The sequence below is a fragment of the Homo sapiens genome, chromosome 10, assembly GCF_000001405.40.
Source record: "Homo sapiens chromosome 10, GRCh38.p14 Primary Assembly".
Lineage (NCBI taxonomy): Eukaryota > Metazoa > Chordata > Mammalia > Primates > Hominidae > Homo > Homo sapiens.
In genome coordinates this window covers 108,414,799-108,428,531 of record NC_000010.11, presented here as the reverse complement: position 1 = coordinate 108,428,531, position 13,733 = coordinate 108,414,799, and the positions used below count along the sequence as shown (strand labels likewise).

Sequence of the window (13,733 nt, the reverse complement as noted above, 5' to 3'; positions counted from 1 at the left end):
CCTGTGGTCAGTGTTGGCATCAGGTCAGAGTTTATTATGCTCCAAAGATCAAGAATGGATCCTGCAAGGGCGATGAAGGGAACAAAGTCAAAGAAGAATCCAACAAGCATTTTTTGAAAGTTATTTTTAACATAACTGAAATCTGTTCATGAGGAGGCATGTGGTTCAGATGGTGGTGCTGATGTGGGGAAAGGTGTCAGTTTCATTCCCTGGCACCTTTCATTGGGGTTCCAGACTTCCTAAGAGGAAGAGAGGGTGATTGCAGGACTAGGATATTTGGAGATCAGTAACAGCTGTTGTTGACTGACCATAGTCCTTGGAAACCATTTGCCTTCTCAGCCTCATTTTCTTCATCTGTGTGAATGAGGGAGCGGTTAAGGCCAGTGAGACTGCTTTAGATAACTCTCCTACATCTAGTTCTTCTGACTCTAAAACTGAGTTTTTATTGTGTATTGAATTGTACTATAATGAGCCCTCTACGATTATTCATATGAGGGGGAGGGAGGGAGGGAAGGAGGAGTGGGAAAGGGAGAGGAAGAAAATGTTGTGTTCAATCTTTATTCCCGTGATAATATATATGTGTGTGTAGAGATATATAGACACACACATATAAAATAAGCCGACATTACAATAGAAAAATCTGTTGTCCTGTCTTTCAAACATAGGAGAGAAGAGTAGATCGTATTAGTTGTCAATTGATGAGTATGAAGGGAATGGTGCCTCAGACAAATATCAGACACAGGGAAAGACACAATGGGCCAGATTCACACTTAATTGAACAAGATCCCTCCCCCACCCCCTTCCTGTCCTCCTTCTCCTCTCCCTTTTCTGCCCCCTCTCCTTTTCACTCCTCCTTCTCATCCCCCTCCTCCAGTTTGTAACTTCAGAGGACTGGCTTCTGCCACAGGTGGAAGGCTTTATGGTTCCAAAGGCTTATGTAACTAGCCCAATCTTCTCCCTGATTTTAATATACTTCAACCTTGGCAGAAAACATCTTGGCTAGCTCATTCCCCCTTCTTAACATATGTCAGCTGTTTATTATAAAAACCATAGCAGTTCTTATCAGGATCTCCCAGGGAAACCCAAAGAGACCTGGAATCAGAATACCAGAGAAGCTCCAGCAATAGTTTATAGTTTGGAGAACATTTTTTTTTTTTTTTTTTGGCACTCAGCCAGCCAGCCCTCCCCGGTCGAAAGAGCAGGGAGTTCTGCCTTTGAATGCCAGTGTCCCGTAGTTCACATTAACCATACTACACAGAACCCTGTGGCATGGTCCGTTTCTAATGTAAACATGTTCCTGGCCACTAGGACAGATCATCAGCCGGGCCAGGGAGAGTGTGGCCAGCCCTGTTCAATAAAACAGTTCTGTCTAACTTTGCTCTATTCAGTGTACAACTATTAATAGCAAGTGATATAGAAAATTTGGGGAAGCAGAAAGGGCTGAATACAACCAGAGATCAGTCTGAAGCTCAGGCCACTCTAGGCTGTACCTGGCACTGCAGCAAACCTAGAAGACCAGAGCAGTGCCATGCCTCAGCCCTGCCCTGAACACGAGCATGCCAGGGCAGAGTGGTGGGGTCCACTTCAGTAGAGGGCATCCCTGGTTGAGGTTCATTCTCCTGATCTAAAGTTTTCTTCTGCCTCAGGGAAGTCTGACCTTGTCTGCACAGGACACAGGGATCTCCATCTTCTATAGGCTCCAGGTCCCCTTTGTGTTTGATCAATGCAGGCAGGGGAGTAGGGACAGAGGACTAAAGGGTCCCAGCAATGAAGTTATAGGAAAGATCTAGATTTCAGCTGTGAGAACATGCACGAAGCCAGGTGGAACTGGCCAAGTCTTAAATTTTCAATGGAGCCACTTTGTCCTTATTCAATGCAAGTGTTTCTGGATGGAGGTGACTCTACTTTGGGTGGATTCAGTGACCCAGGCTTCTTCCTTCCTGAGTCCCTGCCATCTTCAGCTTGTGGACACAGTGGTTGCCCTCGGACAGTCTCCAATCACCAAGTTATCTTCAGTAGTGTGTTGAATACTTTTCTATATAAAAATAGTATATAATTGAAGTTGGCTAGAGAACACATATTCCTTGCAGTCCCACACTATTTGATATATATTTGATGAAATATATTTGTGTATTTAGTAAAACCATGGTCATCATTAAGCTTGGCTTATGATTGGATCCAAAGCTTTAAAAATTCAGAGCTTCAAGAGATTTTAGAAAACATCTAGTCACCATAGAAATATGGTTTGAATATTGAGGCCCAAGGAAGGTATTTAGCTTGTGCATGGTCACCAATTAGTTTTTGCTGAGCCTGGATATACTTTCATGTCGGCTTTTCTTTTTAATTTCCCTTTTATGGTATCTCAGTTACTGATGGTTGACTGAATAAAGTCTTGCATATTTCTGGGCTCCTTTCTTTTGTTGTCTTCCTATCCTCCTTTTCTTTCTTTTTATTCTTTTTAAAATTTACTTTATTTCTTCAAAATCTCAGAAGTGTTCAAAAAGGCTCTGGGTCCCCCCAGCAGCAACGTTGAATCTCCCTGCCCTTCTAGCCCAAGCAGTGCCCAGATGTGCTAGCACACAATTACCTCTCCTTGAGCTTCAATATGTGCACACTGGTACCTTATCACATTTTCCCTTTTGGACCACTTCTTTGGATCAGTCTTTTCTCACTTCCTCCTTTCACACTTATGAAAGCCAATCTCTTCATTCAGAATCTAGGAACTCACACAGTCTAAGAAAAGCATTTGTGGAGGGCTCATTCTGTCCCAGGCACTGTACTGAATGTTTTTCCTTTTTTAACATGCATTTTCTTACTTAACTAAATTACTCAAGAAAACATCATGAGGAGGCCGGTACTTTGTATCCTTATTTTTATAGATGGGAAGTGAAGAATCAGAGAGAAGAAGCAATTTTCTGCAATTTTACTATTAATATACAAATGAGCTAGAGTTTGAATTTCAGTTTGTCAGACTCAGACATTCCCCTTGCCCCTCAAGTTCCAGGCTTTCATGCCTGATTCTGTTATACTCACACTCTGGGAGATGAGGCTTGGCTGTCCTATCTCTTTTCCAAGCTAAAATTGAGGTGCTTGTACATGGTGTGCTCATGCACATACTTTCATTTATGTCTTAAAAGAGGCATAATCATCTCATCTCAAAGAATGCAGCTTTTGGCCAGGAAAGAATATTTCCTTGGAACACTTTATGTCTCTCAAACAAATACATTAAGACCTGCTCCTGAGACCTCTCAGGTGAGTCATGGTCTCCATTTCTTTTTTTGATGAGGACCCAGCCTGAAGTTTATAAGCATAATCTTTTCAGGAGGCAGGCGCAGTGGCTTATATTAATTCCTTCCTCACTCGTACACCTTGGAAGGTGAGGAACGGGAAAGCATTAAGGGGAGTGTCGTTACAGTCCAAGAAGGGGGTCTGTAAAATTGGCATCTTCTTAGTCAACATTACTGCTCCCTCATATGTCCTGACTCCTCCATCTTAGCAAGTTATGAGGTTTGTTCTTGGCAGCACACCAATAAGATGTTCATGGTCATGGTTTTAGTTTATGAATTGTCATGGAGACGTAGGCAGGGTGATACTGACTTTATTACTAAAAACTTGCTGAATATTAAAAAAAATTACATAGCTTTTCCTAACATATAAGAATAAACTCAAAGGCAGATAAGAGCAGGAAGAAATGGACTATTTATGTAATGTGAATTTGGAAGCCAGAGAGACATGAGTGTGAATCATGCCTCTGGTATGTACTGAATCTGAGGATGGTTTAAATTGCCATTTTCTCTGAGCCTCAGTTTTCTCATGTATAATATGTTGACAATACTGTTCTCATAATGTTTTAGGAAAGATAAACTGGATAGGATTATGTGTCCAGGATAGTACTAGTACCTAATCAGTGCTCATAAATGTTAATTAACATTAACACCAATCTTTGTATGTGTCTACTCTTGTATAGTTTACCAGCCATAATGACATTATATCATTTTATCTTCACCATAGAGAGACATGTGGTTCTATCTGAAATACAAGACTTGTTTCAATTCTTAATACTGTCTTTTTTTCTGATAACATCAGGGAGAGAATCTCACAGCGCCGTGAGACTCAAGGATAAGTCTGAACACCATAGTTGAGGCAGGCTCACTGACCTTATACAATAGAGCAAAATGTCACAGGGAAAAGTGATCCTTCCTAATTTTCCCAGCTCATCTCTGTCCCTTGATCAAGATCCATGAAGAAGAGGACCTCAGCACAAACCATTTAGCCTATAGCAATTGCTTTTTTTTTAAGAAATTATTTATTTTTTTAATTGACAAAATTATATGCATTTATTACGTATTATGTTTTGAAATAGGTATACATGGTGGGATGGCTAACTCAAGCTAATTCACATATGTATTACCTTACATACATAGTATTTTTTACACTTTAATCTCAATGATTTTTGAGAATACAATACATTGTTATTAAATATGGTCACCATGCTACACAATAAATCTCTTCACTTATTTCTCATATCTAACTGAAATTATGTAGTCTTTGACCAACATCTCCCCAGTACTTTCCCATCCTAGCCCCTGGTAACCACCATTCTACTCTCTGCTTCTATGAGTTTCACTTTTTTTAGATTCCACATATGTGAGATCATGCAGTATTTGTATTTCTTTGCCCGGCTTATTAAACTAATGTCCTCTAGGTTCATTCATGTTATTACAAATGGCAGGATTTCCTCATGTTTTAAACCTGAATAGCATCCCTTTGTGCATACATGCCACATTTATCTTTATCTGTTTATCCACTGACGGACACTTAGGTGGATTTCATACCTTGTCTATTGTGAATGATGCTGCAATGAACATGGAAGTTTATATATCTCTTTGACATACTGATTTCATTTCTTTTGGATATATATCTGATAGTGAGATTCCTGGGTTATATGGTAATTCTATTTTTAATTTTTGAGAAACCTTCATACCGTTATCTATAGTGGCTCAACTAGCTTACATACCCATCGACATTGTATCAAGGTTCTCTTTTTTCCACATCCTCGCCAGCACTTGTTATCTTTCATCTTTTTGATAATAGCCATTTTAACAGGAATGCAGTGATAACTTATTGTGATTTTTATTTACGTTTTCCTGATAATGTGCTGTTGAATTTTTTTTCATATACTTGGCCATTTGTATGTCGTCTTTTGAGTAATGTTTTCAGTTTTGTTGCCCAATGGGTTACTTATTTTCTAGCTATTGAGTTAAATTCATTATATATTTTAACCCTTTATCAGATGTATGGTTCTCAATTATTTTCTCTTCCATTCTATAGGTTGCTCTTCATTCTGTTAATTTTTTTTTTTTTTTTTGCTGTGCCAAAGCTGTTTAGTTTGATATAATTCCATTTGTCTATTTTCATTTTGTTTGCCTGTGTTTTGGGGTTATATAAGAAAAATCAATGCCAAAATCAATGTCATGGAATTTTTTTCCTATGTTTCTTCTATTAGCATTACAATTTCAAATCTTACATTTAAGTCTATCCCATTTTGAGTTGATTTTTGTATAAAGTGAGACAGGCTGGTCTAGTTTAGTTCTTCTGCATGTGGATATCTAGTCTTCCCAGCACCATTTATTGAAAAGACTATCCTTTCCCCATTGTTCCTTCACGGCACCTTTTATCAAAAATCACCTGACCGTAAATGTGTGGATTTATTTCTGGGCTATTTTGTTCCACTGGTCTACATTTCTGATTTTATGACATGAAAAGTGCTTAATACACATCAAGGGTCTGAATTTGCTGTGCTGAGTAGGGAACTGGGTCTCCTGAATTTTCTGGTGCATTAATAAAGGGCAGTAGTTTTCTGTTTGCCAACATGCCATTCTGGTTAATTGTCTTCTTGTAATGTACATGCACGTGCATATGCATATGTGTATATACATGTATGTCTGTGAATCTGGAAAGCTTAGGTACTAACTTTAGGACTATTTTTTTTGTCCCCACAACAGGGAGTAGATTAGGCAACACCATTGTGTAATTTCAAGGCACTTGGTCACTGAATTTTCACCCAGAAAATATTTATGAAAGACTTTTTTTTCTGCTACACGCTGGGCTTAGGCCAGGAGAGTCACTTTGCCTTTCTGAAGACAGAAATCATAACATATAGACAAACTAAAAAAGTAGACAAGGACAAAAGATAGAGTTTACATTACATAAAAGTGTTTTTTTTTCTCCTTAATAAAATAACATTAGTTTTATTAAAGGAAGAAATACATCCAGGAAAAACGAAATCATTACCCACTTAAAAGCAATCTTCCATAATTTTATATTGGTAAATCAAGCTAGGGTTACACTGATAACAATAAATAAATTTGACCTTTAACATAGTGCCAGGAAATATTCATATAAATTTATTTATTTGTATAATTTTAAAAAAAATTCCATAGGAAAGACTATTTTGAAGAATGGATAAAAGTAGAAACACATGACATTTTATATTAAGTGACTATGGTTAAAATATTATTCTGTAGTCATGCCAAATCTTAAGACCTTGAAAATTCTAATGCTGGTTTTCCTGCCTATTCATAGCATGTAATAGTACTGATATTAATGGAAAATTTCGATATAATGTGTACAAATAGCTGAGCATAAAAGTGTTTTGAAAGTATAGAGTCCTTGATATTCAAAAGAGAGAGACAGAGAGATTCTCCATCGTATCTCCAAAATTATACCTAAAAAGTTAGTTCCAATGGCAAAGCAAGGCTTATAAAGAAGCTGGCCTTTGTGATTCACTGTTATTTGGGGTAGGGGAAATGAGGAAAGGAAAATAGATTGAAATAATCTTATAAAGGAGATTAGGTAACAAGAAATGTAGAAAGGGGAAAAAAGTGTCAACTTTAACAGCCTTTTATTGCAATCTTGGTGTCAGATGAGGCTGTGATCTTATCTGAGGCTCCAATTGGAAAATATTTGCTTCCACATTCTCACAATTCTTAGGCGCTTTTAATTATTGCAGGCTGTTATGCTGAGAGCCTCATTTTTTTTTTTTTTAGACTTTTGGCCAGAAGCCAACCTCATCTGCTTGTGACAAAGCCTCCCTAGCATGGCCGCCTACTTCCTCAAAGCCAGCCAGTGAGAACACCTGATACTATGATGGACAGTTAATCCTTTATAATGCATGTAAGAATACATACCTATGTATTCCCTGTCATGTTTGTCACATTCTATTAGGTAGAATCAAGTTAACAGGTCTTGACTACACTTAAGAGAATTACACAGGTGTGTGAATTACTGAGATGTAAGGATCATGGAGGCCACCTTACAATCTATCCTTCACAACTTCTCAATTATTGAGCATTGGGTTCTTCTCTTGATTAAACAAGAAGGCAATGAATTAGGAGTTATGCTTTATCATATCTTCTCTCAACATGGTAGAGCCCACAGAGATGAGCAAACCTCTATACACTTTTGAGAAGCTTGTAGTCTCAGTTCAGTAGAAAACTTAAGATATAAATAATTAACTCTAAAGTGAGGCACATAAGACAAGAATCAAGAAAGAATAATGGTGTTGAAATTTGAGATGGATTTATTCTGAAGTGTTGAAGAGTTTTTAGTCAGGCTTATAGGATGAGTGGGGTTTAGCACAGTTGTTAAACTGGACCAAAGAGATTTCAATATAGCCTTGGGAAGATAGGTTTGACTCCAAATATTGTCACTAAAAAAGTTGGAGAATCTTATTTTTCTAAAGGTTAATTAATAGATACATGGTTGGCTAAGACACATTTATGAAGTTAAAATGAAGTGATGCCAGAGAGTTACAGCAGAATTAAGAGCTTTGCAAGGAATTTCCTGCCAGGCCAGTGTCCGCTGAGATAGCTAAATCATGTAGCAGTAACAGTACAAAATCCCTTATGAAATTTCTGAGCAATTTTCTTAACTCTGTATTCTAGCTGTTTATAGTCCTCAGATACAGAAGTTGGCAACCCCAAAAAGTGAACATAAATGAAAATGGCCTCCACCTCATGTTAGTCTCAGAGTAGTGGCTTTGCCACCTTCATCAAGAAAGGAAAGAAATTGGGCTTTATCTTAATGAAGTATCACCTACCATCTGGGTGTCTTTCAGAAAATAGTGGTTGGTACTAAGAAGCTGGGATTTGTCAGGAAGAAATTCAAGAATGCTGTATTCCTGAAGTATTTTGCCCCACGACATGCAGTGTTTTTCTCCATGAGAGAAAGGTTTCAATTATCAATATGGTAGCACTGTTGAAAACTTTTATATTACTTTTTAATTTTAAACAATTTCAAAGTTATGGAAGATTTGCAAGAGTAATTTTTTCAAATCCATATACTTCGCACCTAGATTTAGCAATTCTTGACATTTACTATCTTTCCTTTTATAATTATTTAAATGCACTAATCCCCCGGCGACACCCCTTATCCATAGTTTTGCTTTTGCTTTCTGCCTTTTGTTATCCATGGTCAACTGTAGGCCAAAAATATTAAATGAAAAAATCCAGAAATAAGCAATCCATAAGTTTTAAATTGTATACTGTTCTGAGTAGCATGATGCAGTCCCTCTGTGTCCCACCCATGATGTGAATCATGCCTTTGTCCAGCGTATCCACGTTGTATATGGCACCTGCCTGTTACTCACTTAGTAGCCCTTTCAGTTATCAGATCAAAAAAGCATGGTATGTGTAGGGTTTGGTACAATCCCTGGTTTCAAGCATCCACTGGGGGGCTTGGAAGGTATTTCTTACTGATAAAAGGGACTACTCTATGCCATACATAAGTATACAAATGTAGGTGTAATATTTTCAAGCCATGTAAGAATAAGTTACCAAAATGATGCTTCATTACCCTGAATGCTTTGTGTGCATTTCTTACATCAAAGGACATTATCCTAGCAAACCTTCAAAACCAACAAATTGCTATTAATACAATACAACCATCTAATCCACAAATTCTATTCAAAATTTGGCAAATTTTACCAATATTCTTATTTTTAGAAATGATGCAGTCCAGGATAATGTATTTAACAGAGGTGTCATATCTCTTTTAGTATATTTGGGATAGTTTCTCAGGTTTTTTTTTTTTGTCTTTCATGATTTTATTTTAAGATTACAAGCATTTTGTCATTTATTTCTTCACATTTAGTCTTGGTGTTTTAATAATTGGATCCAGGTTATATATTTTTGTCCAAAATAATCATAGAAATAAGACTGTGCTCTTGTTGAAACCTACCTGGCACCACTCCAGATGGATTTCTCCCATTGTTAGTGCTGCTAACACTGGTGCCGTTTGGATCAGGTGTGTCTACCAGATTTCTCCTCTATACAGTTCTTACATTTTCCTTTTGAAATTAACACATATCTTGTGGGAATATACTTTGAAACTAGCTAAATATCTTTTTTCTCATTAAATTTTCCCATCAGTTTTGGCTTCAGTCATTACTGTGAAAGCTATCAAATGGATATTTTTCTAATACCATAATTCCTCCTATATTTATTGTTTGGCATTCTAATATGAAGTACAGTTTTTTTTTTTTTTTTTTTTTTTACTTATTTTTGAGACAGGGTCTCCCTCTGTCACCCAGGCTGCAGTGCAGTGGCACAATCTCAGCTCACTGCAACCTCCGCCCCCACAGGCTCAATTGATCCTCGTACCTCAGCTTCCCAAGTAGCTGGGACTACAGGTGGGTGCCACTACAGCTGGCTAATTTTTTGTATTTTTGGTGGACACTGAGTCTTACCATGTTGCCCAGGCTGGTCTCAAACTCCTGGGCTCAAGCGATCTGCCCATCTTGCCTCCCAAAGTGATAGCATCACAGGAGTGAGCCACTGTGCCTGGCCTATTTAGTCATGTATTTTTTACATCAATATGAACTCATAGATTTTCATGTTATTTAATGGTTTGTAATCTGTTTATATTATTATTTACTCTTAAACTCAAATTATCCAAATTGACCAGTGGAAGCCTCTTTTAAGCTAACGTTGATGGCTTTTTGATACTTTACTATTATTCTGTGAATACTTCTTGCTGATTGATACAATAAAATATTCCAGTTATATATAATACTTTTTATTGTCCCAGTGTTAAATCCTTTTCTCCAAGGAGCTCTGGTTCATTTTAATGAATAATAATATCTAGAAATAATTAGAGGGCTAGATATACCTTTTGCCACTGGTCTTCCAATGAATAGAGCTAGAAATACTCTGTGTGCATATCACATACACAAATTTTCTATATTAATTTTTATATCTACCTGTATTAGTGAAAATTATGAGTTTGCATCAATAATGTCAATTCAATCCCCAAAATTTATGGTTCATTCTAGGCTCCCTATGTTTTATTTGTAACTCCCTCCTCTGACACTGAGAATTCTGGCTTCCATTATCCCAATAACTGATTTTCTTATTTGCACATTATCCTTGTGTATTAGTGATTCACTGACCAACTCCTCACCAGAGAAGCCATCTCACTTACATGGGTTCTTGCTGCACACTGAATGCCTAAGGGCACAATGTGTCAAACACCTGCCTCACTTAGCCCCCAATCTTGGTGGACCACAACCTCACTCAGCCACTTCCCTTGATGGGATCCAAGTCTTGCCATACTGTTTTCCTTAACTACATTTTTTACTCAGTTCCAAATTATATAAGGCTACAACCACACTCAGCCTTCTTCCTCCCTTATCCTGGACCTCTTCAACTGCCTCCAGCAAATATTCAGTAAGATCCAGGGAAAAGGAGGAGGAAGGAGGAAGCCTGTGGTAAAAACTTTGACTTACATGTTTAATTAGGCTTTGAATCTAGTATTACAGCATCCTCATTCCTATAACAGTGTTTGAAATTAGCAATGGAGTCATTGATTAGCCTTCTCTTATATTAGGATATTACATCCTTATACAATTTTTAGTTGAAAGGATTATTCCTAACTTCTATCAAATGTCTGTCTCCTCCTCAAATAAACGTATTAGTTATTCAACTCTGAGAGGGGTAGGCTGTGGTAACAGGGTGTGATTTCACTATCCAGAGTGTTACCAACAACTTGAGTGAGTTTTTTTAAAAGGTCACAGTGGTAAAGTGATTAAGGGCATGAATGCTACCCTTGGACTGTTTAGGTTAAAATCCCAACCTCCCCTCTTACTAGGACAGAAAGTTAAATGGATATGAATAGCCATTGGTGCCAGTCAGTCAAATGTGTGTTCAAATCCCAAACCTATCATCACTTAATAACTGCATGTTTTAAAATAAGCCTCTGAACATCCCTGAGCCAAAGGATGGGGAAAGTTGTGTGCAACAACTGGATGTTAAAGGGGAGCAATTCCAGTGAGGAGAAAGAAATAAAATGAGGATTCCAATGACAGACGCTTACCTGCTATATTTGATGGACAGTAGTAAGTTGGTAGGCTGGTGTGAATCCTTTGGGAGAGGGGCCATTTGGGAAGGACTCTGGTCACTTCTGCAGTAGAGTCAACTTCTAACCTTCTCAGTGTTCCCCATCTTTGTGTGTTCTCACCAGCTGACATGCAGAGCCCAATGATAGGTGCCCCTTATCAGGTAAAGGAGGCAAGAAAAGCATTTTGACAAATCACTTAGAATTGAAGTATTCATTAAATGATTTAGGTGAAAATGCCCAAACATAGGTACTAAGCTGTAAAACTCAGTTATATCAGCCTTCTTGTTCAAAGAAACTAAAATAACATGCTGCTAGATTCTGAGATGGAGGTGGTCTTCACTGGGCTTGAGTTTACTATTTGTGGAGAAGATTTCCAGGCATGGTAAAGGAGTTTGGTATGTTAGTGTACATAAAACTCTTTCTATTACAATAATATCCAAAAGATTATCTCCCTTGCAGTCACTGACATTTGAAGAAATTTCTGTGGGAGTTGTATTGAAAACCCATGAGGATTTGACATTTCCGTATTGGTCATTTATTAGCCCACTGTTTTGCTGATGGATCTGCCTTGACTTTAATCTTTATCTTCCTAAGCCAGCAAATGACAGAAGGGGAAACTCGACTTTAAAAGTAACATTAGAGACACTTTAACACACGATAAACATTTAAAACATTTTGCTACATGAAATAAACTGGTCACAAAAGGATGTACTGTAGGATTTCTCTTACATATCGTATTTAGAATAGTCAAATTCAGAGACAGAAAGTAGAATGATGGTTGCTACAGGCTGGGAGCAGGTGGGAAAAGGAAAATTTTGTTTAATCATACAGCTTCAGCTTTGCAAGATGAAAAGAGTTTTGGAGATAGGTAGTGGTAATGGTTGCACAACAGTGTGAATGTACTTCATGCCAATGCACTGTATGCATAAAAATGGTTTATATGATAAGTTTTAAGTTATGTGTCTTTTATGACAATTAAAAAATTAAGTGAGTTATATATTTTTAAAGATGGCATCAGAATATTTATAAAATAACACATTTCTTGTTTCTTAATATGCCAGATCCTGGGAGTTAAGTTCAATATTATTGATCCCTTGGACAGCATGGTGCCTATCAAGAGTTTTTAGACTTCTGTTTGGCTATTGTTTCATGACAGCGCTTTGTGGAAGTTGGTCAAGAAAAAAGAGATACAGGAAGTTATAGAAGGCACAAAAGAGTATAATTTTAGTCTCTTTAAGGAGAGAGTATCTTCTCTGTTTCTTCTCTTTCTCTTGCAAATTGTTTGCAGAACGAGGACTTGTGTAGCATTCCTGCTTAAAGTCAACTCAGTGAAATCCACAATTGAAACACACATGACTTGTATTGCTATCTCTTAATTTTCATAATCTTTTGAGATCTCACCAAATGTCATTTTTTTCCATGTGACAATTCAAGATGGAACTCAACTTGATTTTCAGTTTTGCCTCTGCTTAAACTCATCTGTTTCTGTCTGAGCCCCCTTAGGTGGATAAATGTAAGACTGCGTACTCCTTGCTGCCTAATTTATACTTTGTTTAGTCTGAAGAAAGAAAAGTGTAAAGAAAACACAGCATAAATGAGCAGCACTATTAACAGTGAGCTGAGACAACCTTGGTACCATTAGAAGATCTTTTCTTAGAGAATATTAAGTGCCCAATCAGAAACTTGCCTGTTTTCCTTAGAGGGGAAAGACATACATGACTCACCAACCTCTCCACATTAGTAGTTATAATATAAAACATTTTTGACATTACGCCTATTTTTAGCTATAATATTTATCACTCTTTAATATACTAGTGTGTATTGAAAATCCTCAAATTTATCTGACAACAAGAACTATTTCTTCTGGACTACCATGCTGGACAAATCCTTTGTTGAACCCCTTTGGAGAAAAAGCTGGTTTCCAATGCTTTCTTTTCATGCTGTCATTATCACAGTGGTAAATAAGGAGGGGACGGTCTCCTTACATATTGAGAGAGTCATTGTAGAAGGACTTTACCCAATTCTAAAATTTTCTGCATGCATCATTTTCAGAATCGCGCTTGTCTAAATGGAAGAACAAAGTGACCCATATTATACTCCATCCCTTTGCAGCAGGAATTCTTGCTCTGTACTACTTTTTTTTCTTGCTAATGCAAAACAATTTTGGGGGAGTGAGGAGGTGTGAAGAAAGGGAAAAGAAAGATGCTGATTCTGTTAGCCTTTGCCAATATATACACTTCCCCAGCTTCCTTGCAGCAAGAGACAGCGAATGATCCTGTAGTGGCTAATGCAGCAGAGGGGAAAATCAGTTACAGATGCAGGTTTCAGTAAAGTTT

The 13,733-nt window shown here is 37.4% G+C and overlaps 1 long non-coding RNA gene across 4 annotated transcripts in view; it reads left to right on the top strand.

The window, feature by feature from the left end:
* Window positions 1-13,733, top strand: part of LOC105378477 (uncharacterized) — a 70,747-nt gene that overhangs the window by 37,866 nt on the left and 19,148 nt on the right. The window contains exon 4 of one of the 4 annotated variants that reach the window (XR_946312.2): window positions 7,050-7,150. The exons of the other annotated variants lie outside the window; for them this stretch is intronic. This is a non-coding gene — a long non-coding RNA (uncharacterized LOC105378477). Of the gene's footprint in view, window positions 1-7,049; window positions 7,151-13,733 lie in introns of those variants that run through there. 4 annotated transcript variants of the gene reach the window in all.